The 23,573-nt window shown below is 40.9% G+C and overlaps 1 protein-coding gene and 1 long non-coding RNA gene across 34 annotated transcripts in view; one reads left to right on the top strand and one right to left on the bottom strand.

Moving 5' to 3' along the window:
- The window catches only part of LOC105373224 (uncharacterized), a 38,407-nt gene extending 26,989 nt beyond the window's left edge, over positions 1-11,418 (top strand). Inside the window, exons 1-3 of one of the 2 annotated variants that reach the window (XR_001738559.3) lie at positions 7,063-7,441; positions 8,888-9,113; positions 10,188-11,418. This is a non-coding gene — a long non-coding RNA (uncharacterized LOC105373224). Of the gene's footprint in view, positions 1-7,062; positions 7,442-8,887; positions 9,114-10,187 lie in introns of those variants that run through there. The other variant, XR_949315.4, reaches the window with a different exon arrangement.
- Positions 10,568-23,573, bottom strand: part of CHRM3 (cholinergic receptor muscarinic 3) — a 528,883-nt gene continuing 515,877 nt past the window's right edge. For all 32 annotated transcript variants that reach the window (XM_047443115.1, NM_001375982.1, XM_047443164.1 and 29 more), the window contains one exon: positions 10,568-18,585. In XM_047443115.1, the coding sequence (XP_047299071.1) occupies positions 16,794-18,566 (1,773 nt within the window). In that variant the 5' untranslated portion in view covers positions 18,567-18,585 and the 3' untranslated portion in view covers positions 10,568-16,793. The remainder of the gene's footprint in view (positions 18,586-23,573) is intronic.

Raw genomic sequence — 23,573 nt, 5'->3', positions numbered from 1 at the left:
CGTGAGACATGAGGCCAGAATTTAAAACTATTCAATTTCTAGGCTCAGGGACTACCGTGAAAGAAGTGGGCACACAAAATTCCAAGGGCCAGTTTTGAGGGATAAAATTAGTTCAGATCCTCCAAATCCAGGATGGGCACATGAATGCCTAAATAGCCGACAAGTTGAGAAACTTTGCCTCTCTAAACTCCTTAACTCAAAAGGGTTTAACAAAATGCTTATGTCTCGTATAAATAATTGCTATCTCAGTATCTAAGACCAGGATTCAATTCTGTAAGCTTATCTTTGGCTTTTGGCTCTCAGCTGTTATGCTGCTCAAAAGTTTCTTAAGGGTTAATGAGTGTCTGCCCACCTCCATTGCCATCTGGCCTAGAACATTTAATTGGCAGTAAGTCTTTCGGCTCTAAGTCCTTTGGCCATAGGAGTCCCACTGACAACAATACGGGACAAAATAAAAGTTTGACCATCAATGCCGCCTCTGGCATATCTTAACCAAAAAGGGGAAACGTAAAATCCTAAGCACCCCCGTACTGACCGAACAGACTCACTTGTGGCCAAGAGGACCCCAGAAAAACCTTAAAACTTAGTTCCTGGCCATGAAGAGATGAGAGATCAGACGTGTCTCATAATACACCCTTCCTTTTTGAGTGTAGACACAACTCACCAGCATTACTATTAAAATAGAAATCACAATGAGACATGCAACGTGCTAGCAGCCCTTGCTCTCAGTGCCTCCTAGGCCTCTGCCCGGTGTCCACTCTGGCTGTGCTTGAGGAGCCCTTCAGCCTGCTACTGCACTGTGGGAGCCCTTCTCTGGGCTGGCCGAGGCCGCAGCCAGCTCCCTCTGCTTGTAGGGAGGTGTAGAGGGAGAGGTGTGGGCCGGAACCGGAGCTGTGCAGGGCGCTTGCGGGCAGCACGAGTTCCAGGTGGTCGCCGGCTTGGTGGGCCCTGCACTCGGAGCGGCCAGCCAGCACTGCTGGCCTTGGACAGTGAGGGGCTTAGCACCCGGGCCAAGAGCTGCGGAGGGTGCACTGGGTCCCCCAGCACTGCCGACCTGCCAGTGCCGTGCTTTAATTCTCGCCAGGCCTCAGCTCAGCCGCCTCCCCAGGGGGCAGGGCTTGGGACCTGCAGCTCGCCATGCCTGAGCTCCCCCGCCCGCCATGGGCTCCCGCTTGACCCGAGCCTCCCTGACGGGCACTGCCCCCTGCTCCGTGGTGCCTGGTCCCATCGACCGCCCAAGGGCTGAGGAGTAAGGGCACGTGGGGCGGGACTGGTAGGCAGCTCCCCTAGCTCCCCGTGCAGGATCCACTAGGTTAAGTCAGCTGGGCTTCTGAGTCTGGTGGGGACTTGGAGAACTTTTATGTCTAGCTAAAGGTGTGTAAATGCACCAATCAGCACCCTGTGTCTAGCTCAAGGTTTGTAAACGCACCAATCAGTGCTCTGTGTCCAGCTCAAGGTTTGTAAATGCACCAATCAGTGCTCTGTGTCTAGCTAATCTAGTGGGGACTTGGAGAACTTTTGTGTCTAGCTAAAGAATTGTAAATGCACCAGTCAGTGCTCTGTGTCTAGCTTAAGGTTTGCAAACACACCAGTCAGCACCCTGTCAAAATGGACCAATCAGCTCTCTGAAAAATGGGCCAATCAGCTCTCTGTAAAATGGACCAATCAGCAGGATGTGGGTGGGGTCAGATAAGGGAATAAAAGCAGGCTGCATGAGCCATCAGCGGCAACCTGGTGGGTACCGTTGCATGCTGTGGAGGCTTTGTTCTTTTGTTCTTCAAGATAAATCTTGCTGCTGCTGACTCTTTGGGTCTGTGTCGTCTTTAAGAGGTGTAACACTCACCATGAAGGTCTGCAGCTTCACTTCTGAAGCTGATGAGACCAGGAACCCACCAGAAGGAAGAAACTCCGGACACATCTGAAGGAACAAACTCTGGACACACCATCTTTAAGAACTGTAACACTCACCCGGAGCGGGGAGTCTGTGGCTTCATTCTTGAAGTCAGTGAGACCAAGAACCCACAGATTCTGGACACAACAAGACTGACAGAACAGACTCTGTGACAATAAAATGTCACTAGTACCCCTAAAGTTTTCAGTCTACTTTACAAGGACTTTAAAAATGTGGGCTCATAATTCTGACAATAGGACTTATAATGATCTTACAGTCCAGTATATAATTAAATACACGCCATGCTAAGACAGCGTGCAGGAGCGCTAATGTGTTCATGCTGTGCCCCTGAAGTGTCCAACTGGGCAGCCATACGTGCTTGCAGATTACTGCCAGGCAGTTTTATTCCTCAAATCCTGACTCTTACCGCAACTGTGCCCCTTGCCGGCAGGAAAAAGCTAGAGTGGTTTTCACCCAATTCACACTGTATTAGTTCTCACCTCAGGGTTGGGGTTTGATTAAGCCCAAGGTGGGCTAAAACCACTCCACTTTACAAAATTACTCAGCACATACAACATCAATCATTAAGTCAGTTGTATGACCTGCTTTGTCATAATTATTTAATGTCTGTTGCCTCAAAATCATGTAGACCCTGTTACAAGATTATAATTCCCCACAACTTAACCATTATAAAACATTAAATTTTCCCTTTGAGGTAATTCTTCAAGTCCTGCATACTAATAAAACTACTGACTCAGCTGATCTGAAAAATCCCGCTGATACCAGCTGATCTCAAGCACCCTACTGACTTCAGCTGGTCCAAACACCCACCCCCCAAGAAGCTGACTCACTAAAGAATGCAGTTTCCATGTGCTGACAGTTTCATCTCCCTCACCCCCACGAATCAACGACCCCAATTCTCCAGCCACTCACCTTCCATAATCCCCTTAAAAACTGCAGCCTAAAACTCTTTGAAAAACTGGATCTGAAAATCTACCCCTATCTCCTTGCCCAACGCTCTGCAGTAATTAAACTTTCTCTGCTACACCACTGCTGTCTGCATAATTGGCCTATTACTACACAGCAGACATACCTGTTTATCCTACAACAATAATACAATAAGTCTTCACTCAATGTTGTCAACAGTTTCTTGGAAACTGCAACTTTAAGTGAAATAATGACTCACAAAACCACTTTTACCATAGGCTAACTGATGTAAATGAGAGTTAAGTTACTGTGGCATTTTTCTGGTCACAAAACCATCACCATGCTTATAAATAAAAACCAAAACACTTTTACTGTTGAGCATTGAAATAAATGTAGGCTATGCATACATTTAAGAAAGATTAATAAGAACAAGTAAGATAATTACTTACTTGTGTATTCCAGTTCGGGATGGCGGGTGGGTGGAACCTGTCCTGGCTGCTCAGGGTACACTGAGACCATGTAGATACACCAATTCCAGGTGAGTTATGAAGCTTAGGTATGGGCACAGCTTTTGGATGTGAGAGGAAACCAGAGGACCTCGAGAAAACCCACATAAACATGGGGAGAACACACACACTCAACACAGTGGCCCTGGCCAAGAATCATTTCTTTTCTTCGTGAATGCTATAATGAAACAGTGTTAAACAAAATGACATTATTCAAGGACCTGCTATATAAGTTGAGAACACCTATGCCCAGGTGAGGGCTAGAGCCAGACAATGGTGGCCTGGTGAGTATATTTGAATAGAGCAATGTTTCTAGGGGTGCAGAGGCAGACATCCTTTGATAGAAGCCCAAGAGAGGTTTTAGAATTTCCGAAAACCATTTTTCTCTTTCTGGTGCCTGGCTGTTACTCTGGAAAAGACTTCATTTACTAATACTGATTTGTTAAAAATCTGCCTAGAAGATCTGAAGTTAAGATTTTGGACTCTTTATTCTTTTTGGATCAACCCTTTCCTTGAAGGCAGTTGTATTAGTCAGGGTTCTCTAGAGGGACAGAACTAATAGGAGATATATATATATATATATATATATATATATATATATCCTATAGGTTCTGTCATATGGCTGATAGGATATATATATCCTATAGGATATATATATATATCTATATATATATATAAAAAACTCATATATATATACACACATATATATATGTGTGTATATATATATATATATATGAGTTTTAAGCATTAACTCACATGATCACAGCGTCCCACAATAGGCCATCTGCAAGCTGAGCAGCAAGGAGCTTGTCCGAGTCCCAAAACTGAAGAACTAGGAGTTTGATGTTTGAGGGCAGGAAGCATCTAGCACTGGAGAAAGATGTAGTCTGGGAGGCTAGGCCAGTCACACCTTTTCACGTTTTTCTGCCTGAAAAGGGTGGATTGCCTTCCCCAGCCCACTGACTCAAATGTTAGTTTCCTTTGGCAACACCCTCACAGACATACCCAGGAAACTTTGCATCCTTCAAACCAATCAAGTTGACACTCAGTATTAACCACCAGAGCAGTATTTGTCACAACCTACAGTTTCGTGGACAGGGTTTGGTCAGGACTGGGGAGGAATGGTGATGGTGATAGAGAAAGCAATGGACTGAAAGACACAAGGAACATAGCAACCTCTTACCCTCTCAAGAGCTTAGCCTCCGACATGAGTGTGATGCCACTGTCTATTTAAAATACTGTTGACTCTAATAATGTCATCAGTGGTCTTGTGTATTGCTGTGCACTCTCATCTTCAGCATAGCTGGATACACACTTATTTTCCCTCAACCTCTTTTTCTTCACATGCTCCTGCTTTTTGATTGTCTTCCACTTTTAGGTTGATTGTGCTTTGAGGCAGCCACAGCACCTCCTAACACTTGAGATTAGCCCGAGGCTGAGTAAGAAACTGTGTTCAAGCCACTTGTTGGCTTATTAGAAGATGAACTGGATGTTGCTGTAGTCTTTCGCTGGCAGCTTACAGTGCAGGCAGTGAGGTGTATGGAGCATATCATTAGGGCCAGGTTGAGGTGTGAGCTGGAACTCCAGAAAGACAGGGAGAGCCTTGTTGGGGTCACTAATTCCTTCCTGCCTTAGTGATGCTCTAGACATGCATTTTGAGGAATAGTGGAGGTCATCAGGGAGGATTAAAGTGGGAAATAAGTGATGAAAAGGAGAAATGACAGTTATCATATAGTCTGAGATCTGTCATATGGTTGGAGTTTATTATTCTGCATTCTACACAAGTTCTCTCTTTTTTTGGCTCATGTACACTCAAAAGAATCTTCAAAAGTTATATACCCCTTGCATATTTGTAGTTTGTTCTCTAAACAATTTTCTCATAAGTTTAATAGTTCAAATGATGTAATTTCCCACTTTTGCCAGATTATCTCTGTTTTTAAAATTTTTTTAATCAAAACCTTATAGTGTAGATTTTATCATTCACCTTTTGGAAAATGTAAGCCATATAATCCAATTGGCAAAGCCAGTCCTCATGGTCAAACTGATCAGCTAAATTACATTTGCTTTATGTTGAAAAAATATCTGAACTAATTTTCCAGTTCAAAGACATGTGTTTTTATCATGGCCGCTTCACCTTTGAATTCTAATTCATAAATGGACTGATGGATGGATGAATGGATAAATGAATGGATGGATGAATGAATAGATGATTAAGATAGATAAATAGATGAATGAATGAAAGATGGATGGACGGATGGATAGATGGATGGATGAATGGATGATGGATGGATGGGGTGGATGGATGGTTGGGTGGATGAATGGCTGATGGATGGATGGGTGGATGGATGGATGGATGGGTGCATGGATGGGTGGATGGATGATGGATAGATGGATGGAAGCTTAGCATAAGTTGGTTCTCTAGATGAAATAAGGCACTGCCCTCTTCAGTATTTCTTAAGGACTCTCTATTTGCTCTTCTGCCACAGGACATTCTCTTAGGAACCATGTATTTTGAAACTGTCCTTTTGTTTGATGTCCAGATTTTTTTTGCATGTAGGAATAAGATTCAGGCTGGCTGAGAGACATGTGGTGTAAAATGGAAAGGCAGGTGTAAAGAAGATGTTCTTTTCAAGCAGGTCAACCTGAGACTGAGTACCTATGGCAGTTGAGGATCTTGAAAGCGACCCTTAAACTGACAATATTCTAGTACTTCCTGGAAACTCCTCATGTATTTCACACCACCCCAGCTTGAAAAGCAGTGTCCTAGAAGAGAAGATGAGAACTGGTGGATAAAATGAAGCTATCTAAACACAAAGTGGCCTGCTTAATTTATTATGTAGATTTTTTTTTGTCATTGCAGTTATTTACAAAGAATCCTGGAGGCCAGTTGTCAAGGATGCTGTAGGAGGGCCCCCTGCATTGAATATAAATTTGATTGGAGAATATTTAAAAGTTCCCTTCCAACTCAAAAATCTATGATATTCTAGAAAGGGTGGCACAATCTATGATGTGCATTGAGTGGATCTTAATATTATTTTAGAATCCTGACAGTATAAAATGACCTCATTATCTCTTAATAAATGGTTTTTATTTTCTCTTTAATGGTCTTTATCTCTCTGTTTTTACACATTGGTTCCATCTTCTGAAGTCACCTACTGTGCTGCCACTTAGCTAACAGGAGCTGTAATCTGCTTCATAGTACACAAATTGATTTTTTTTCTTTTTTTTTTTTACTTCAGAAACATGAAGGTCTTAAAGTGTATTAGAAAGTACATACGGGCTGGGTGCAGTGGTTCACGCCTGTAATATCAGCACTTTGGGAGGCCGAGGTGGGTGGATCACTTGAAGTTAGGAGTTAGAGACCAGCCTGGCCAACATGGTGAGACCCCGTCTCTACTAAAAATACAAAAATAAATTAGCGAGGCATGGTGGCACGTGCCTGTAATCCAGCTACTCTGGTGACTGAGGCAGGAGAATCACTTGAACCCAGGAAGCAGAGGTTGCAGTGAACAGAGGCCATGGCACTGCACTCCAGCCTGGGCAGCAGAGAAAGTGAGTAAAAAAACCAAAAGAAAAAAGAAAGTACATATGAAGGTGACACTTAATTCTGGGTTAAGGGACACGTTAGGGAGTTGGGGTACTGTGCACAGGTTGAAATGAGCAGAGAGAAAGCCTGGACTATTAACTCAGTTTTCCCATCTTGGCAAGGAAAGTTTGTATTAGACGTGTACTGTTTGTTTCTCTTACAATCAAAAAGGGAGTAGAATTCTGGCAAGTTTTCTATCTGGGTTTCTGTGATAGTTCTGCCCTAGCAGGTCTGAACTGGAAGCTGGTGGGGGCGTGGATTGGTGGAGTAAGGAGGGAGGTGTGCAGGGAGCCATCTTTTATCGTATCATTTCCTGAGGCCCCACAACGACTTCCTCTACTTCCAACACCTAAAGATAATGGCACTGGTTCCACAGCAAGTGTGGGAATGATTTTACACAATAGTATCTGGGAAAATATTTACTTCTGGCCCACTGGCAAAGGATTGGCCTTTTTATATTGTTCTGAAGTTAACTTCAGAGGAGGTCCTTCCCTGAAAAGTCACAGCTGAAGGAACTCACTGCAGACGGTGGTTAGTATTGGTTTTCATTTGTTGTCTTTGTTAGTTTTGTTCTTCTACATTTTGGTCTGAACCGCTGTTGATTGTTTCCATTTCAAGCTAACCCAGGCAGCACAATAGTGTAGTCAATAACTTCTAACATTATCCATCCTGCAGGTGGAACTGGTTATAGCAGACAGGTTTTTAAAGGCACTTTGTTTTGTGGAAGACAGAATAGGGGAGTTGTCACACTTAGAGATCTGTTTTTATCAGTGGGTCAAAAATTTAATAAGCTAGAATATTATCAAAATTCCATTTGCCCTATCAAACTAAATGTCAAAGAATCATCCCTCTGATATGAATATACCACATTCCACTTTCTACCTGATTTGTAGCTTCTAAGTGGCTGTTTGTATCAGAAGACAAATCACAAATTTGTCATCTCTATGAATTAATTGCTTGAAGGAGAATGGTTTGATTCAGAAAGGTAAGTTAGTTAAGATAAGGAGCGTTTAGTAAGTGTCATGACAAAAACATTGGCTGAGATTAAGCCAAATAGATACACAGCCTACATGGATATTAAAAATAGTTTCCCTTAAAAAGAAAAATAAAGGACTTCTGAAAAATCGAAGTCCCATTTTTTAATGGGAAAGAACAATTGGTAATATGAATTAGGGAAAAAGTCTGATAGATGCATGCATTATAGACAGGATATTATGATGACAGACATGTCACTGAGTGAATCCAGAACATTAATAGTGGATTTTCATGTAAATATCCTAGCCCACTGCACTGTCTAGAACGAAGAGAAACTCTATAAAGAGAAGCATGATGCAATCTTTTTTTTTTTTAAAGAATTACAAAGGAACACTAAGGTAGCGATCAAAAGGTTTTAAAAACTGATGCAAGCATCATTTTTTGGGGTCAATCTTTGCTTACATGCTGATGAGCCCATCATGTTTTGGGTGTTACCAGGGGTTCAGAGCTCACGTGTGGTCTTCAGGTGCATCTTACTCATCTTTGGTCTACTGAGGTTTGCATGCTCAGCATATGGGAATCACAAGACACCCTCTGGGTCCTAATAAAAATATCCAGCCCGATGAAAGCACCTGGATTATTTTTCCTGGGGTCTGAAGGCAGTTTTTTCCTCCTGCAGAGATTTCTGATTTCTCAGATATTTCCCAATAGCGAATTGGCAAATGATTGGTGTCAAAATAGGCAGAATAAAAACTTGGGGGTTGGAGATGTGAGTTGAAATGTCAGGAACATCTCTCACTGGCAGCCTTGCCTTCGACAACTCTCTTTCCCTTTTGTTGCAAGATTGAGTTAGTAATTCTACTCTTATAAACCACGGCTAAAATACTCTCTTCAGAAACACTGCTAAAGACAGCGAGCGTCTCTGTAATTCAAGGCTCTCATTCCAACGTGATTCTCATCATTATCCTCCATATAACTGAAATGAAAACCAATCTTTTACAGACTGTTCCTATGAAGGATCCTTCTGCCTTTTCATAACCTGTGTGCTGTTGTTTAATTCTCATGGAGAATGACAAGTTCCACTAAAATATGCACATGGCATCTCCAAGAAACAGAAGCAAGAATTAAAGTGAAGGGGTGGTAGGCAAAAAAGGCCAAGAATGACCATGATTAGACCAAGGAACTTCCACTTCCAAGCCGTAGCTGGCTGCATCCTCTTCATGACTCTGTAAGTGCACTGGACCACAGGTCGTCTTTTCAAAAAAGTTCTCTCTCTCTATACTCTTCCAAGTCTTTTTAGGTGAGATTCAATTTCAACGAAAGATCATTTATGCTTATTGCTTAAGTTAAGTTAATTTTTAATGCTTTTAAAAAGATGCTGGATAGTTAAAAAATATATCTGACTCCTGTGACAGAAACATTTATTTCAAGGGTGAAATATCTCAGTTCAAATAAAATAATAATTGCAGAAAATATTTAAATCAATTTATTGGTCGTATTTTGTAAAATTTCTTCTCCATGTAACCATTTGGATAAGGAAGCGGCAAAGCTCCCCCAAAAGCTATCTATCAACTCCCAACAAAGTACTTTTCAGTTAAAAGTCAACTCATACTTAGTGGGTATTTCCAACATTGACATATTCTTATGGTTTATGAATCTTCCATAATTTTAGCCAATGTTTCTTTCCGTAGTCAAGATTTCATATTGCATAAATGTGTGCAGCAAATTAAGGAAGACTTTAACACAATAGAAAACTTTTCTTCTTAAATCTCATATGAGTTTTATGTAAAAATGTCTACTATGATAGAGTAGTGAGAAAAGCAGTTCCTTTTCTGGCCACCTACATTGACCTAAATGGTAAGTGTAATAGCATGAAATAGCAAAACAGAGACGGAGAGGGGATGCCCAATGTTTCAGTGAGCACAGGTTCAAATTGTAAACTGAGGATGAAGACATGAAGATGTAATGACTGGCAGAAAAAGTTGTGAGGGAGAGAAAAAAATATATATATGTGTATATACTATCTCTCTCTCTCTCTCCATATGTAGCTGTATTTATAGCTAGCTCTCTCTCTCTCTCTCTCTCTCACATTCCTCCTTGTTCTTTCTTGCACTAAAGACCAAAGAGGCAATGGTTGGTTTCTATGGGTCAGCTTAAGAAGCAGTAAAAGAATCATGAAGTGACCAGGCATGCCATTCAAAAAAATGTCATTTCTCGCCCAGAGTAACTTCTTTGTACCTTCACTTCCAGCAATTTTAAAGTCAGTGTAATAAAATATGAAGCTTGTTTTTCTTTTTTCCAGTGGGAAAATATTTTCTGTGGAGTCTAAAAGAAACAAAAATACACCTGAAAAGAAAAAAAGGTAAGCATTCCTTACAAAAGAGAAAATTTCCCTTCCATGTTATGTGTCTACAGACAAATATTTTTCTTCACATGCACTTTTGGAGTAAGGACTATATGCGTAGCTATAGTTTACACCTGTATATACTCAGGAAGTATTTGGATTATGATGGTATGATGATAGTTGTTAAAGAAAGTTCTTTTGCATGTGAAAAAGAAAGGGAAGACAAGGCAAACAGCAGTCTGTTCAGCATTATCCTTTCAATGAATTCTACCCTTTTATACAATAAAAAGCTGTGGCTGTATTATAGGCCCTGGGTTAAATAAAAGCAAACCACACTCTTTGTTCAATAATAGTTTTATTTACTTATTTCACTGTTAACTTGGGGATAATATTCACCACAAAGTTGCAGGCATCATTTTATAGTACAGACTACAGACGATTGACTTTTTCAAGATTAAAAATGAACATGGTTTGTGACACACCTGAAATGCCTACTGAGGAAGTGCTGGCCACGAGGTAATAAAAAAAGGTAAAATTCAGTGCCTTTGGCAAAGATGTGGACACTGTTTTAGATGCGAGTATGATACATGCCCTTTGCTTACAAAGCAAATATACACCCATCTGTTTTTGGACTGCGGTTTCTCTATCCACCAGAGAGCATCTTTAAATGATTCACAGACATTTCCCTGAGAGCTTCCTGCCAAGAGAAATCAGCATGCTGATTCACCATCGTGGAAGCCCATTTTTATGTAATTATTCCTCAAGCCTGCACCAAACTTGGTAACAGTTCCTATATTTAAAAGAAAGAAGGGCTTTGCCCAAACTGTGGCCATCACATAGCTCTAAGCAGACGCCCAGAGGAAGTTTGAAGTGTTACATGTAGGAGGCTGGAAATGCCCATGTACTGGATGAGGAATGGCTAGAAGGGAGATCATGTGTTTGATTGCTTGCAGAACAGGATAAAGGATTGTCTCCTAATAACTTTCCACGCCAAGCAAAACTACATGCAAGGATTTTTAAGCCAAACTACAGATCTTCACTTGCACAGAAAACTATGTTTATGAACTCTCCAGGCCCTCCAGATACTTCTTTTACTAAGGCAAGTAACCGAGAAGCCTGTTCCAAAAGAATTATCCCTTCCATGAATTCTACTGTTTTATACAATAAAAAGTTTGTCTTTGTTGACCAATCCAGTAAAGTTTCTGAGTTCTAGGGATAAAAAACAGAGTTAATTTTCTTTTTCCTCTTTGGACTCTAAATTATTTGTTCACAACTTCAAATCTATTTAAAATATTTCTCCTTATTGCTCAGTGATATTTTATTAGATAAGCATCATGTTTGTGAACACTTTCCACTTCCCAGCCAAATAACTCCTGACTACAGTAGCAGCATGGGACATTGATGTGCACAGAATGTTGATAATATTTGTTATATTAATAAGGAGGTTATTAGATATTCAACATTTATTGAATATATGCAATTTGCCAGATTCTGTGTGAGCCACAGGATACAGAGTGATGAATAAGACCCAATTACTATCATCAAGGAACTCACAGAATACAGGATAAAAAGAGTTTTGAGTTTTGTATGTGAACTGCAGAACTGCTAAGCATTTTGGACTCCAAGAAAGAACAATAGTAAGCTTTTAGATTCTGGGGATAATCTTTTTAGCTGAAGCTAGGGTTGCCGGATTATAATTTGGGTGCGGGAAGTTTTACTAATGCTTCTTTGCAGTGGAGAGTATGGCCCCTTTATCTTTTAAATAGAATGCAACTGAGATGTGAGCCCCTTTGATTCTCTAGATGATTTTTTGGGGTGGTCTCAGCCCAGACCAGAGTGGTAGGGTCAGAACTTTGTGTGAGTCTCTGTGGTTCTACCAGAACAAACATAGGCCTGATATTCTAGCAACGCATTTGGATGACTTCCATATATCCAAATACACTATCCGTCTCTGCGCGAAGCTGTGAACGTGATGTGTGCCTAATAATACTAACACTTGCTCATTTCTGAGCCGTACAACAAAACACTGTGCAGTTACAAACTTACGTGGGGTATAGTCATTTTATGAACTAGATCTTCTTTTCTCATTTTTATTTTCTTATCATGAGCCTCCCTTCCCAGACATTAACACTAAAGCCAGAAAAGGAAAATGGAATTCTCCAGTTCTAAAGAACATTGGGTTACCATTCTAGAAACCTTTCTCAGGTCTGCAATGTTGACTCACACATTAATGCTGGGAGAGGCTGAAGATTTAGAGTCATCAGAACAGGAGAAGAGAGTGTAACTTAAGCGTGTAGAAAGGAAGCAGTAAACTTGTCCTTGAACCTATTAAGGGCTAGAGTTGATACTGTCTAAATAAGTTTGTTGCACGTGGTATTGGAGCAAAATATTCTTTCAGAGGAGGTGCTAGAAGTAGGGTTCTTTAGGTTAAAAAAAAATAACTTTGGAGTGTTGTAATCTATACAGTTTCAGTTCTGTTATGAGAAATGCTATTGCAAAACCAAAGCAAACACCTGCTACCTAGAAACTCTATTTTGTGAGTTTGCCCGACCTCAGGTGCTGGGTTGGAGTGGTATTTGAAACCATACTACTCCGGGTTTGCCAACAAATTTCAAAGCTTCCTTGGTTACCTTCCAAATTTCAAGATTTTGTGGTGTTGAAATAGAGTAAGTAAATAACTTTACAGAATATAAAATCTGAAATTTTCAAACATTCACCCAATATACCATTTTACTTTCGTCATGGTAGCTGCTGACCTCAGTTTTGACCGATTTGGCATCAGAAGGCAAATTAGAGAAGCTTCGGTGTTGTTGCTTAGTTTGAGCAATGAGGATAAAACCCAGAAAGTTTAGGTTAAGTGACAAGCATTCCTAAGGACATGTAACTAAGCAGTGACCAAACTGGTCCAGAAACTTCAGGTTCCTCATCCTAAATTCATTGCTTCTTTGACTATACTGCACTATTTTCACTCGTCCTCTGAAGCTGCCAGGGGAAGATTGTGCAATTTCCTGGAATATGTCCCCATCCTTGAATCATCTCTACTCAGATAGGTACAGGACACCCTGACTGATCCCTGGAATCCTTCTCTGTGCCACTCTGGTATTAGACTTCTCCGCTGTGACAGAGCCTTGGCATCCTTCTTTCCTCCCTGAGTCAGAGCTGAAACAGCCAACTGTGCATCAGAGCTCTGTGCTCCAGCTTCTCTCTCGATACATGAAGGGGCTTCCAGCGCTCTGCAGAGCAATGAGCCCTGCACGAGGGCAACGTAGGAAGCCTGACAGAGAAAACTGATATGCCTTCTAGATCTTTAGCCACAGCAGGGTCTAACGCTTAGGCTTCTTGTTTGTTTTCATTCCGTCAGAGTCTACAACTATTGTACACTAAAGGGTAAAGAGAAATGAAAAATATGTAGAGAGTCAAGGCTGGGCTTAAGAGGCAAAGGGTGACTAGGAGAATAGGGAGGACTAGCATAGAGGCCACAGGGAGCTGATGGGCAAAGGAGAGCAGAGCCGAGGGATCTAGGGGACCAGAGAGAGCTCACTTCTCCTAACCATCTGGCAATGCCTGGAGAATGGAGATTGAGTGTGTGTGTGTGTGCTTGTGAGAGAGAGAGAAGGAAGAAGAGGGAGAAAGAGAGAGAGAGAGGCAGAGAGAGAGAGAGAGATTCTCCATGTGTAGTTTATTTTAGGTTTGATCATTTTCTTCTTTCAAGCAAAGTGGCTAATCTTGAAATGTCTGCAAACCTCATGCATATGGCATGAAATAATTCGATTCCCAATTTGGGATGAAGACATTTTGATCTTAGGTAAGTGCTGAATATCTCCTGTAATGACAAGCCCTTTGAGAAATGCACGTGTAACTAAGGTCCAATTATAAATACTCACTACATCTTCAATTATGCTTTTAAATTATTCATATTCAAAAGAACCTATTTTGCTTGTTTTCTTTCTCTGAAAGTGACCCAAGAAATGGACATACCTTTCTATAAAATCAGTAGATAGTATTTAAATGCAGCTTTCATCCATAAGAGGCTTAAAAACAATTCTATAATAAAACCAGTAAAACAAAAAAGGGAGACCTAGAGTCTTGGATTTGTTCCTTTTCTGCTATTATTAGCATCACAAAAGGACAAGGATAAGGAGATAATCATGTTTAAGGAGATTGGAAGTGACTCTCAAAGTTCTGTTAAATTTCAGGGTTTCTCCTTTTCTCAAATTTAATTCTATTTCTTTTTTTTTTTTAATAAAAGAAACAGCCCTTTTGGGAGGGAGGCAAGATAGGAGTTTCCAAAAGGATGGGAAGTGCTGAAGTACTGGGACACTTGAATAAGCTTTCACATATTTATTAGTGCCAGGCCAACTTGAGAAATAAAATATAGATGCAATTGCTTACTAGATGTTTCACAGGTGGATAATATGACATTCTGTAGTTTGCTGTGTACATATTAGAAAATCGTCTGTTTCTTTCTTGTTCTTTGGTTGAATGTGGGCCCAAAAAAATCATTCTTACAATTATGCTGATTGTTTTTTTTTTTCCCTGTGTAAAATGATTTCAGACACAATGGTGGAGCTTTGTTCAGTTCCCATCAGATTTAACTAAAGAGTGGTTTTAAACATTTACGTTGAAGTGACCGTTGACTTTTTATTACCTAGAAAGAGTTAGGTGCTTGGTGATGCCAACAGGATGACATGTTTCTTCTTCTTAGCCACAGGAAAGCTCCAATATACTCTATTCATTGCTCAAGTGGACCTTAAAGAATCACTTTGAAAGGACACCATGGCTGACGACTGAAGAGTCATATTTATCAACATTAAATAAACACTTGGTGTAGTATCCATAAATATTTCTGCATATAAACATAACACGAAATTAAATAGTTCAGATACACAGACACCACTGAGTACACTTCTACTGTTGTCAAAGTCGTCTGTAAACACCACCTCACACTGAATACAAAAGCAGCTTCTACCCAGCTCTGGGTTCACAACACGAATGCCCTGTACAAAGGGAAGATATCTCCGCGGCCCTCCCACCTCCCTCCCCTCCCTCTCCCCAAACAGCCCCGGCAACAGGAAAAGAAACCCCAACAGCTACAGCAGCAACAACAACGACAATGATGGCAGCACCCCATCCCCTCCCCAAATGAAACAGTTAACATTTTGGTCAATTCAAGGGAGAATGCAAAAAAACAATTTTTTTTTTTTCCCAAAAGGTAAGGAAATCAATTTGAAGCATTACTTTTCAGAGTGTAATTCTTTCTTCAGAGGACATGTAACTTCCTAAAACCTCACCTATTCCTGGGTGAAGGTTACACAATGAACACCAGAAAGCACTGGCCACAGCTGATTAACAAAGGTGCAAGCCCTATTTTCTTTGAGAAGGTGCCATTCAGCAAGAATCAAACACAATGTTCTCCTTCATTCTCTCTTACCATGTTTTTTTTTTTGCTTTGCCATATATATATATATACACATATATATATATTGCTGTGTATGACATTCAAACGTGACACTATTATTGAGTTTCAAGCAGTTTAGATAGCAGAAATTTTGTTCTGAAACATTCAGATTTAGATGATTAAATTCAAACGTGTGGATGTGGTTCATTCTTTGAGCTCAGAGGGGCCCCGATTTAGCTCTGTTGAGACATCAACAAAGGAGGTTGCTTAACACCAAGTCTGGCGAAGCCACGGCGCTCAGCTGACTCACGAGCCTGTCCGCTCTGCACAGACCTGCTGGGAAGGCCTGGCTGCTCTCTGTGGAAAACAGCCCTGGTTTCAAAAACATTACACTGGGCTTATTTCACGTTAATGTTGCATTAGGATCCTAGAGAACTTCAGTTACCAAAGTACTGAAAGCGTATGTTGCAGGAATAATTTGCCAGTTCAGTGTTTCCCATGATATTATATACACTATGTGTGTGCGTGCAGAACTCACACATATATATATACTTAAGTATTTTTATTTGTACGAAACTTGAACTGCACAAAACAGTACTTTGCAAGAATCAAGAATCAAGTCCACAAATAGAGTTTAACAACACACCAAAGAAAAGACAGGAAGCTCTATTGGGACAAGAAGATTCAGCTTTGCAACGTATGAAATAATTTTGGAACCACAGATTCGTAAGCCTGCAGTGTTCCACTTGGGGTCTGGATTCCCACTTTTGGGATCCTTGGGAAGAATGTGGGAACTGGGTCAGCTATGCTCATCTGAGATTCCAAAGCTAATGGGAATTAAAGGACCCAGGCAAATCACTTTGGGTATATAATTGCCGTCAAGCAATATTTTTCTCCTCTTTAAGAAAAAAACACGTAAAGTCTATTTCAGAATAAATTTCTTTATATTCAGTAGTATGTTTTTTTTTTCTTTTTGCTGAATTGGTATTGACTTTTTCTATTAAAATGGGTTTATTCAATGGATCAGTAAACAGGCAGCTTCTTTCACATCTGGGTGATAAAACCATTTTTATCATCACCAGAAGTCACCCCGCCCTCGCCTTCCTCCTCCTAAGGTCTGTGGGTTGATGTGTGCGTTTTGTCACTGCTATTGATACAACCTCATTCTACAAGGCCTGCTCGGGTGCGCGCTTGTGAAAAATGACCGACTGTCTCTGCTGGTACTGCTGCTTGCGCCTCTTTTTTTTGTCACACTGGCACAGCAGCAGCATCTTGAAAGTGGTTCTGAATGTTTTGTTGCACAGAGCATAGCACACGGGGTTCACGGTGCTGTTGATGTAGCACAGCCAGTAGCCCAGATTCCAAAAGGTTTTGGGTATGCAGCTGTCACAAAAGGTGTTCACCAGAACCATGATGTTGTATGGGGTCCAAGTGATGATGAAGGCAAGCAAGATCGCACTGAGGGTCTGGGCCGCTTTCTTCTCCTTGACCAGGGACATCCTTTTCCGCTTAGTGATCTGACTTCTGGTCTTCAGAGCAAACCTCTTGGCCAGAGTGGCTTCCTTGAAGGACAGAGGTAGAGTGGCCGTGCTCTTACCCACTGAGGAGTTGACGTCAGAAGTCTTAGCTGTGTCCACGGCTGACTCTAGCTGGATGGGAAGCTTGGAGAAGCTTTTTGGAAAACTGCCTCCATCGTCCACGCTCTTCTGGGCCTGCAGCTTGTCGGCTTTCCTCTCCAAGTCCACCATCCCCAGCTCCTCCTCAGGCACCTGCAGGTTGTCCGATGAGGGTAACTTGGTGGAGTTGAGGATGGTGCTGTGACCCGGAAGCTTGAGCACGATGGAGTAGATGGCTCTCGTCTCGGAGCCAATGTCCTCCTCGTCGGAGGAGGCGGAGTTCTCCAGGGAGGCAGCAGCATCATTGTTGTTCCAACTGTCACTGCTGCTGTGGTCTTGGTCCATCTGCTCGGAGCTGGGTTTCCAGCTCTTGGTTGTGAACCAGAAGTGGCAGCGGCCATACTTCCTCCTGTTGGAGCGTTTCATGCTTTGCTGTTGAAGTTCGTAACTGCTGCAGCTTCGAGAACTGCCCGTGGGGTGGACAAAGTTTTCTGTCTCTGCCTCTGTCCCAGAGGCTTGCAGGCCAGCAAGCTCTTTGGTACGCTTTTCAGTTTCCTTATAGATCCTCCAGTATAAAATAGTCATAATGGTGACAGGCATATAAAAAGCAGCGATGGCTGTGCCAAAAGTAATGGTGGGCTCACTGAGGAACTGAATGAAGCACTCTCCCGGAGGCACAGTTCTCTTTCCAACAAAGTATTGCCAGAACAAGATGGCAGGAGCCCAAAGGACAAAGGAGATGACCCAAGCCAGACCGATCATCACACCGGCTCTCTTTGTTGTTCGTTTGGCTCGGTACGTGAGCGGCCTCGTGATGGAAAAGTATCTGTCAAAGCTGATGACCAGAAGATTCATAACAGAGGCATTGCTGGCTACGTAGTCAATGGCAAGCCAGAGGTCACAGGCCAAGTTCCCTAAGGCCCATCGATTCATGATGATGTAGGTCGTAAACAGATTCATTGAAATGACCCCGATAATCAGATCGGCACAGGCCAGGCTTAAGAGGAAGTAGTTGTTGACCGTCTTCAGCTGCTTGTTGACCTTAAATGACACAATTACCAGGATGTTGCCGATGATGGTCACCAAGGCCAGGATGCCCGTTAAGAAAGCGATGAAGACCACTTGCCAGACGGTATGACCTCCCAGAGGGTCATCGGTGGTACCGTCTGGAGAGGAGAAATTGCCAGCTGCTCGAGAAACATTGTAGCTGCCGAAATGAGTGACGGTTCCCGGGGGCAGCCCTGCATCGGAGGGGCTGTGTATCCAGGAGGAGCTGATGTTTGGAAACAAAGGCGAGGTTGTACTGTTATTGTGCAAGGTCATTGTGACTCTCTGACATAGTCTGGGGGAAAGAGAGAAGAGACAGAGTTAGAAAAATTTCTGCCTTTATTTGTTTGTTCTTTGCATTACATACGTTAAAAGACATGGAAGGCCTATTACAGGGTGCTGAATCTCTATGAAGCCAAACATCAAGTTCATTCTCTTATTTTAAATAAGTGGAGTCTAGGGCAGACAGACATCGATTTGTTTGAGATAGTATTATATAATTGGTGGCATGCACTGAACATTGTGCTTTTTTCCCACATTTTTCTCATTTCTAAATATATTCCATGTAATTCTGTTACTAGACAAAATCGCCCTTACTTCTCTTATTTTGTAAAGGTGAAAAATATCAGACATTTCTATTACAATTATCCAAACAGCTTTATCTTCATGCTAAATTGATAACTTGACTTGATTTGCATTTTATCTATCTGGGCATTTACCCATCTGAGGCTTCAGAAATACGCAACTTTAAGGTGATACCAGCCATTTAAGTCTTACTAAAATGAGCAATGCCAACCTGGAGAAGGGATAAAACCAATGTAAATCAATTCACACTATATTGCCTCTTTGAGACAGGATCAAAAAAGTAAGACATCCGTTCCTTGTAAGGACTGGTAACACGACTATCTCCTGGAAAGCTATCTTCTACTTGATAACATGCAGATGAACTTTTAGCAGAACGTTTTGAATGGACCAAACCAGCTTTAAATATTTCTAGTATTTAGATATTTTAGATCCAAGCATGAAAATGTATTTTAGCGTGTCACACATATGTGAACAAATGGACACACCCACACACATTTGCATATAAAAACTGCAAAACTGCAACTAGTGCTTTCACACACTTGTTGCCAGAGTATATGAACAACTAAGAAGCATTACAATTAAGGTGCCACAGTTAGACCTCCTTGGTGTCACTGTTGGCCTCGGTTGTGACCTGTACCATTCTCTCAGAGCCTCCAGGGCTGTACTTCTGGGACACCACTGGCTCAGGAATTCACACACCGCCAGCCACCGTACACTAGATAAGCAAATCATTCCTCAATCAGTGTCATTCTATGAGTTCAAAGTTTGATCATCCCAGCAAAAATCTATTGTGTACCCTGCTACTACATTTATGCTCTTGGTTAAAAAAAATCTTCAACAATAAACTCTTACAGATAAACATACATATGCAAGTGCATTGCAAGAGTCCTGAATCAAGCCTTAAGGTATTGAATGCCAGAGTTTTCTCAGAGTGTCTCTCAAAGCAGTAGTCAGATTCACACAGAGACTTCTGGAAAGGCTTTCTGGCATAGCAGGAAGACTATGGGGTCAAAAGGCCTAGGTTCAAATCTGTTTGACTACTTACTGGAGGTGAGAACTTAGATATTTAACTTCTTTGAGTCCAAGTTTTCTCATTGAAAAATGGGAATGATAATTTTCTGTATAACAGAATCAATTGTTGATCAATTCTTTCCAGAATTCAATAAGTGGCCAAAGAAGCTTCGTTTCTCATCAAAATGTTTTAACATATATAAAGTACTTAGAACAGGAGCTGATACAGTAAATGCTATATGAGTATCTGTGATTATTATCTTATTCTTTTTATTGAACAATGAGCTCTCTTTGCTTTGGCTGCCAGGATGCTCAGAGCTAAATTTAGTGCAATAATAAATGTTAGTAGAAATTATTTATTGGACATTTACTGTGTGGTACGTGTTGTGCAAATGCATCATATGCATTATCTTATTTATTATATTATATTTTTTGAGACAGAGTCTTGCCCAGACTGGAGTGCAGGGGTGTGATCTTGGCTCACTGCAGCCTCTGCCTCCCAGGTTCAAGTGATTCTCATGCTTCAGCCTCCTGAGTAGCTGTGATTACAGACATGTGTCACCTTGCCTGGCTAATTTTTGTATTTTTAGTAGAGATGGGGTTTCACCATGTTGACCAGGCTAGTCTCAAAACCCCGGCATCTAGTTATCTGCTCATCTTGGCCTCCAAAAGTGCTGGGATTATAGGCATGAGCTACCATGCCCAGTGTATTATCTCATTTAATCCTTAAATAACCTCACTTTACAGAAAGGAAGACACATTTAAATAATCTGTGCAGGGAATTTAGCTAACAAGGTGATGTCTGGGAGGACCTAAAGAGTTCCATCCAGACAATCTGAACCCACAGCCTCCATGTGTAACTGTGAGGCTGTGCTGCCTCTCCACCAGCTCCTTCCAGGTGTCCTATACAACTAGCACCTCCTAGCTGGTTAAAAATCATCACACGCCTCCTTAAGGTGGAATTGATGTGCATGTTAAAATTAATGAGATACTCTTTATCACCTGAAACAATGGCAAAGATGCAAACGATTTGATACATTCAGCATTCACAGTAGTATGACAAAAATAATCAATTTTCATGGTCTTGGGGTTGCAGTATAAATTGGTCATTTGAAAGACAATTTTGCAGTTTGTCAAAAATGCCAAAATCCATGATCTCAGGAGCTGTCTGACTCTATGTATACACATAATACCTATAATGTTAGACATAAATACACTCACATATGCACATATAAATACATGTACACATGTTCACCTTAGTACTCTTTGAAATAATACAAAATTTGAAATAGTCTAAATATTCTAATATAAAACTCAATTACAGAGAGGAATAACACAAAATATTCTGTATAATCTAATATTATTTTCCCATAGCTGAAATATCTGACATTGCACTGATTTTCAATTATAGGAAATTGACAAGACTATTCTCTTTTACTTTTTTTAAATATTTGGGTTTTATTAGGTGTCAACTTACACTTAACTCTCATTCTCCCTCACTGAGTGATGTCTGGGTTTGGGAAGTGTTACACACTGTTTGTAGCCCACAATTACATTCAGGATTTCTTCCAAGATGCATGTACAGAAGATCTGTCTGCTGCTCTCCCCCCATCCAGATACCAGTTTACTGCAGTTCTAAAGGTGTTTGCCTTGTTATCTCTCCATTGCACCTGTGACTATGTATATTCACAAGGACAGATGTGCCTTTAATCAGGTCAACACCCTGTCTCTGAGGTTAATAACTACTATTACTATTGGTCTACTGGGGAGTCTGGGGTGCCTCTTAAATGCTCTCGGCCCCATACGCCGATAAGTGGCATTTGGTCCTCTTTAGATTATCATCTTTATTCATCCAGTTTGGTTTTCCAGCACCGGGCCTGTGTTTATTTCTCATGTACTCTGAAGGGCCTTTCTCTTTCTGAAATCTCCTTCACTCCTGAGATTCCTGAACACAGCAGCTACGTTTCCTCATTTCTACTATCTAGGTCTCTGCTTTCATGTCCCATGGGAGGTAATCATGTCCTGTAGCCCCATTTTCAGGACTTATGCCATGCTGGTTTTATTATAAATAATGTAATGCCCAATCATCCCGATGCTATATTCATATTTGTGCTGATGATACTTCTTTCTTCTTTCATCTTTGTTGGTTAAAGCCATGCAGTGGGTATCTACTATTTGTCTTTCTTTCAGCTGTCTTTTTGGAAATAGCCTGTCACCCACAGTATGTAGTTTGGGACAGGCATCAATCAGATGGTCCTCGCTCCTCTACCACAACAATGAACATGAAGAAGACCCAGGCAGGAGGGTTGATTTGGAGATTTGATGTGGATGTTGGAATGAGACAGTGATTCTCTTATATTTGGAATTACTAGGTGCTGATCACCCTATTTGCCACCACATGGGAAATCTAGAGTAAGCAAACATAGAGGAAAGGCATGAAGGAAGGAGAGAGATGGGAGGGAGTATGGGAAACAGAGACAGCATGATGATGATGTCCTTTGAAACCTGAATTTAGCCACTCCTGAGGTGAACACCACCTCCTTGACCTTGCCTTTCCTTTGTTGCCTGGGCTACCAGAGATACTTTCTGTCACCTGCAACTAAAAGGTGTTCTGTCTTTGTCAATATCAGCACAAGCTCATTTAACCACTGCTAGCTTTAGATTATGGTGACTGGTGCTGTGGAATTCAGGGATTCCACAGCCTCTGCATTTCATAAACTCACCCCCAGGTAAGAGATGGAATACAAATAAAAGATTTTTAAAAACACAAAGTTATTTAGGCAATATCAAATTACTCTCTGTGGATAATCACATTATGTTTGTATACATTCAACAGCAATTTAATTTGCTCAGTTGACCTATATTGTTGAAGAATATAAGTAAAAATTTTCGAAATTAGCCTAAGGTCAGTTGTTTTCTTTTAGTTCATTTCATCCTGTGAATCTGAAGAGCCCCCCCAAATGAATAGTATTCTAGTCCAATTATGCTTTGTTTGAATACAGAAAATGAAAGAAGCCAGAATTGAGGAAAGTCAGCTATAGGTGAGTTTAGCTCTCTATATTAGGTTAATTAAATACCTGTTTATCTTTGACCTGTACTCTTTGTCATATCTACCATTGGCCATCATTCTTCTTACACTTTGACATTCATTCAATATCTAATACGTTTCTGAAATTCTCAGAGATGTGCTTTTCCTTATTTAAAAATGTTCCAGTCCTTTTCTGTCATGCAATAGATGTGCAGTATGAGATGAGCAAAAATTTTAAAGGTAGACAAGAACCATTAGAGGGAAATGACTTATAGGCATTTGCTTACCCATGTGATACAACATCCAAAGGACAAGAGTTAATAAGTTAACGAGTTAATAGTCAATAACCATGGCAGTCCTAATGCTACCCTTGGGTTTCCTTCTAAGAACCTCAGATATTAAAGCAACGAGAAAAGAAGGGAATGTGGTATATGAACATAACTTTGAGGAAAATAAAGCCTTTTGAATGGGAAGCAGAAATTTTAAGCAAAGCACACTACTAAAACCCACTGTGACTTCTAGCTACGAAGACAGAAATGTTTAGGAAGTCGTGGGTACTCATTTGGGGTTCTGATGTGATGAGATACATTAATACCACTCTATTAATAAAGATGATGTTCTCATCGTCATTAATTTTTTTTATTAGAAAGCAATAGAGC

The sequence above is a fragment of the Homo sapiens genome, chromosome 1 (assembly GCF_000001405.40).
Source record: "Homo sapiens chromosome 1, GRCh38.p14 Primary Assembly".
NCBI classification, from domain to species: Eukaryota; Metazoa; Chordata; class Mammalia; order Primates; family Hominidae; genus Homo; species Homo sapiens.
The sequence above is the reverse complement of the archived record's forward strand: the minus strand, read 5'-3'. Positions and strand labels throughout refer to the sequence as shown.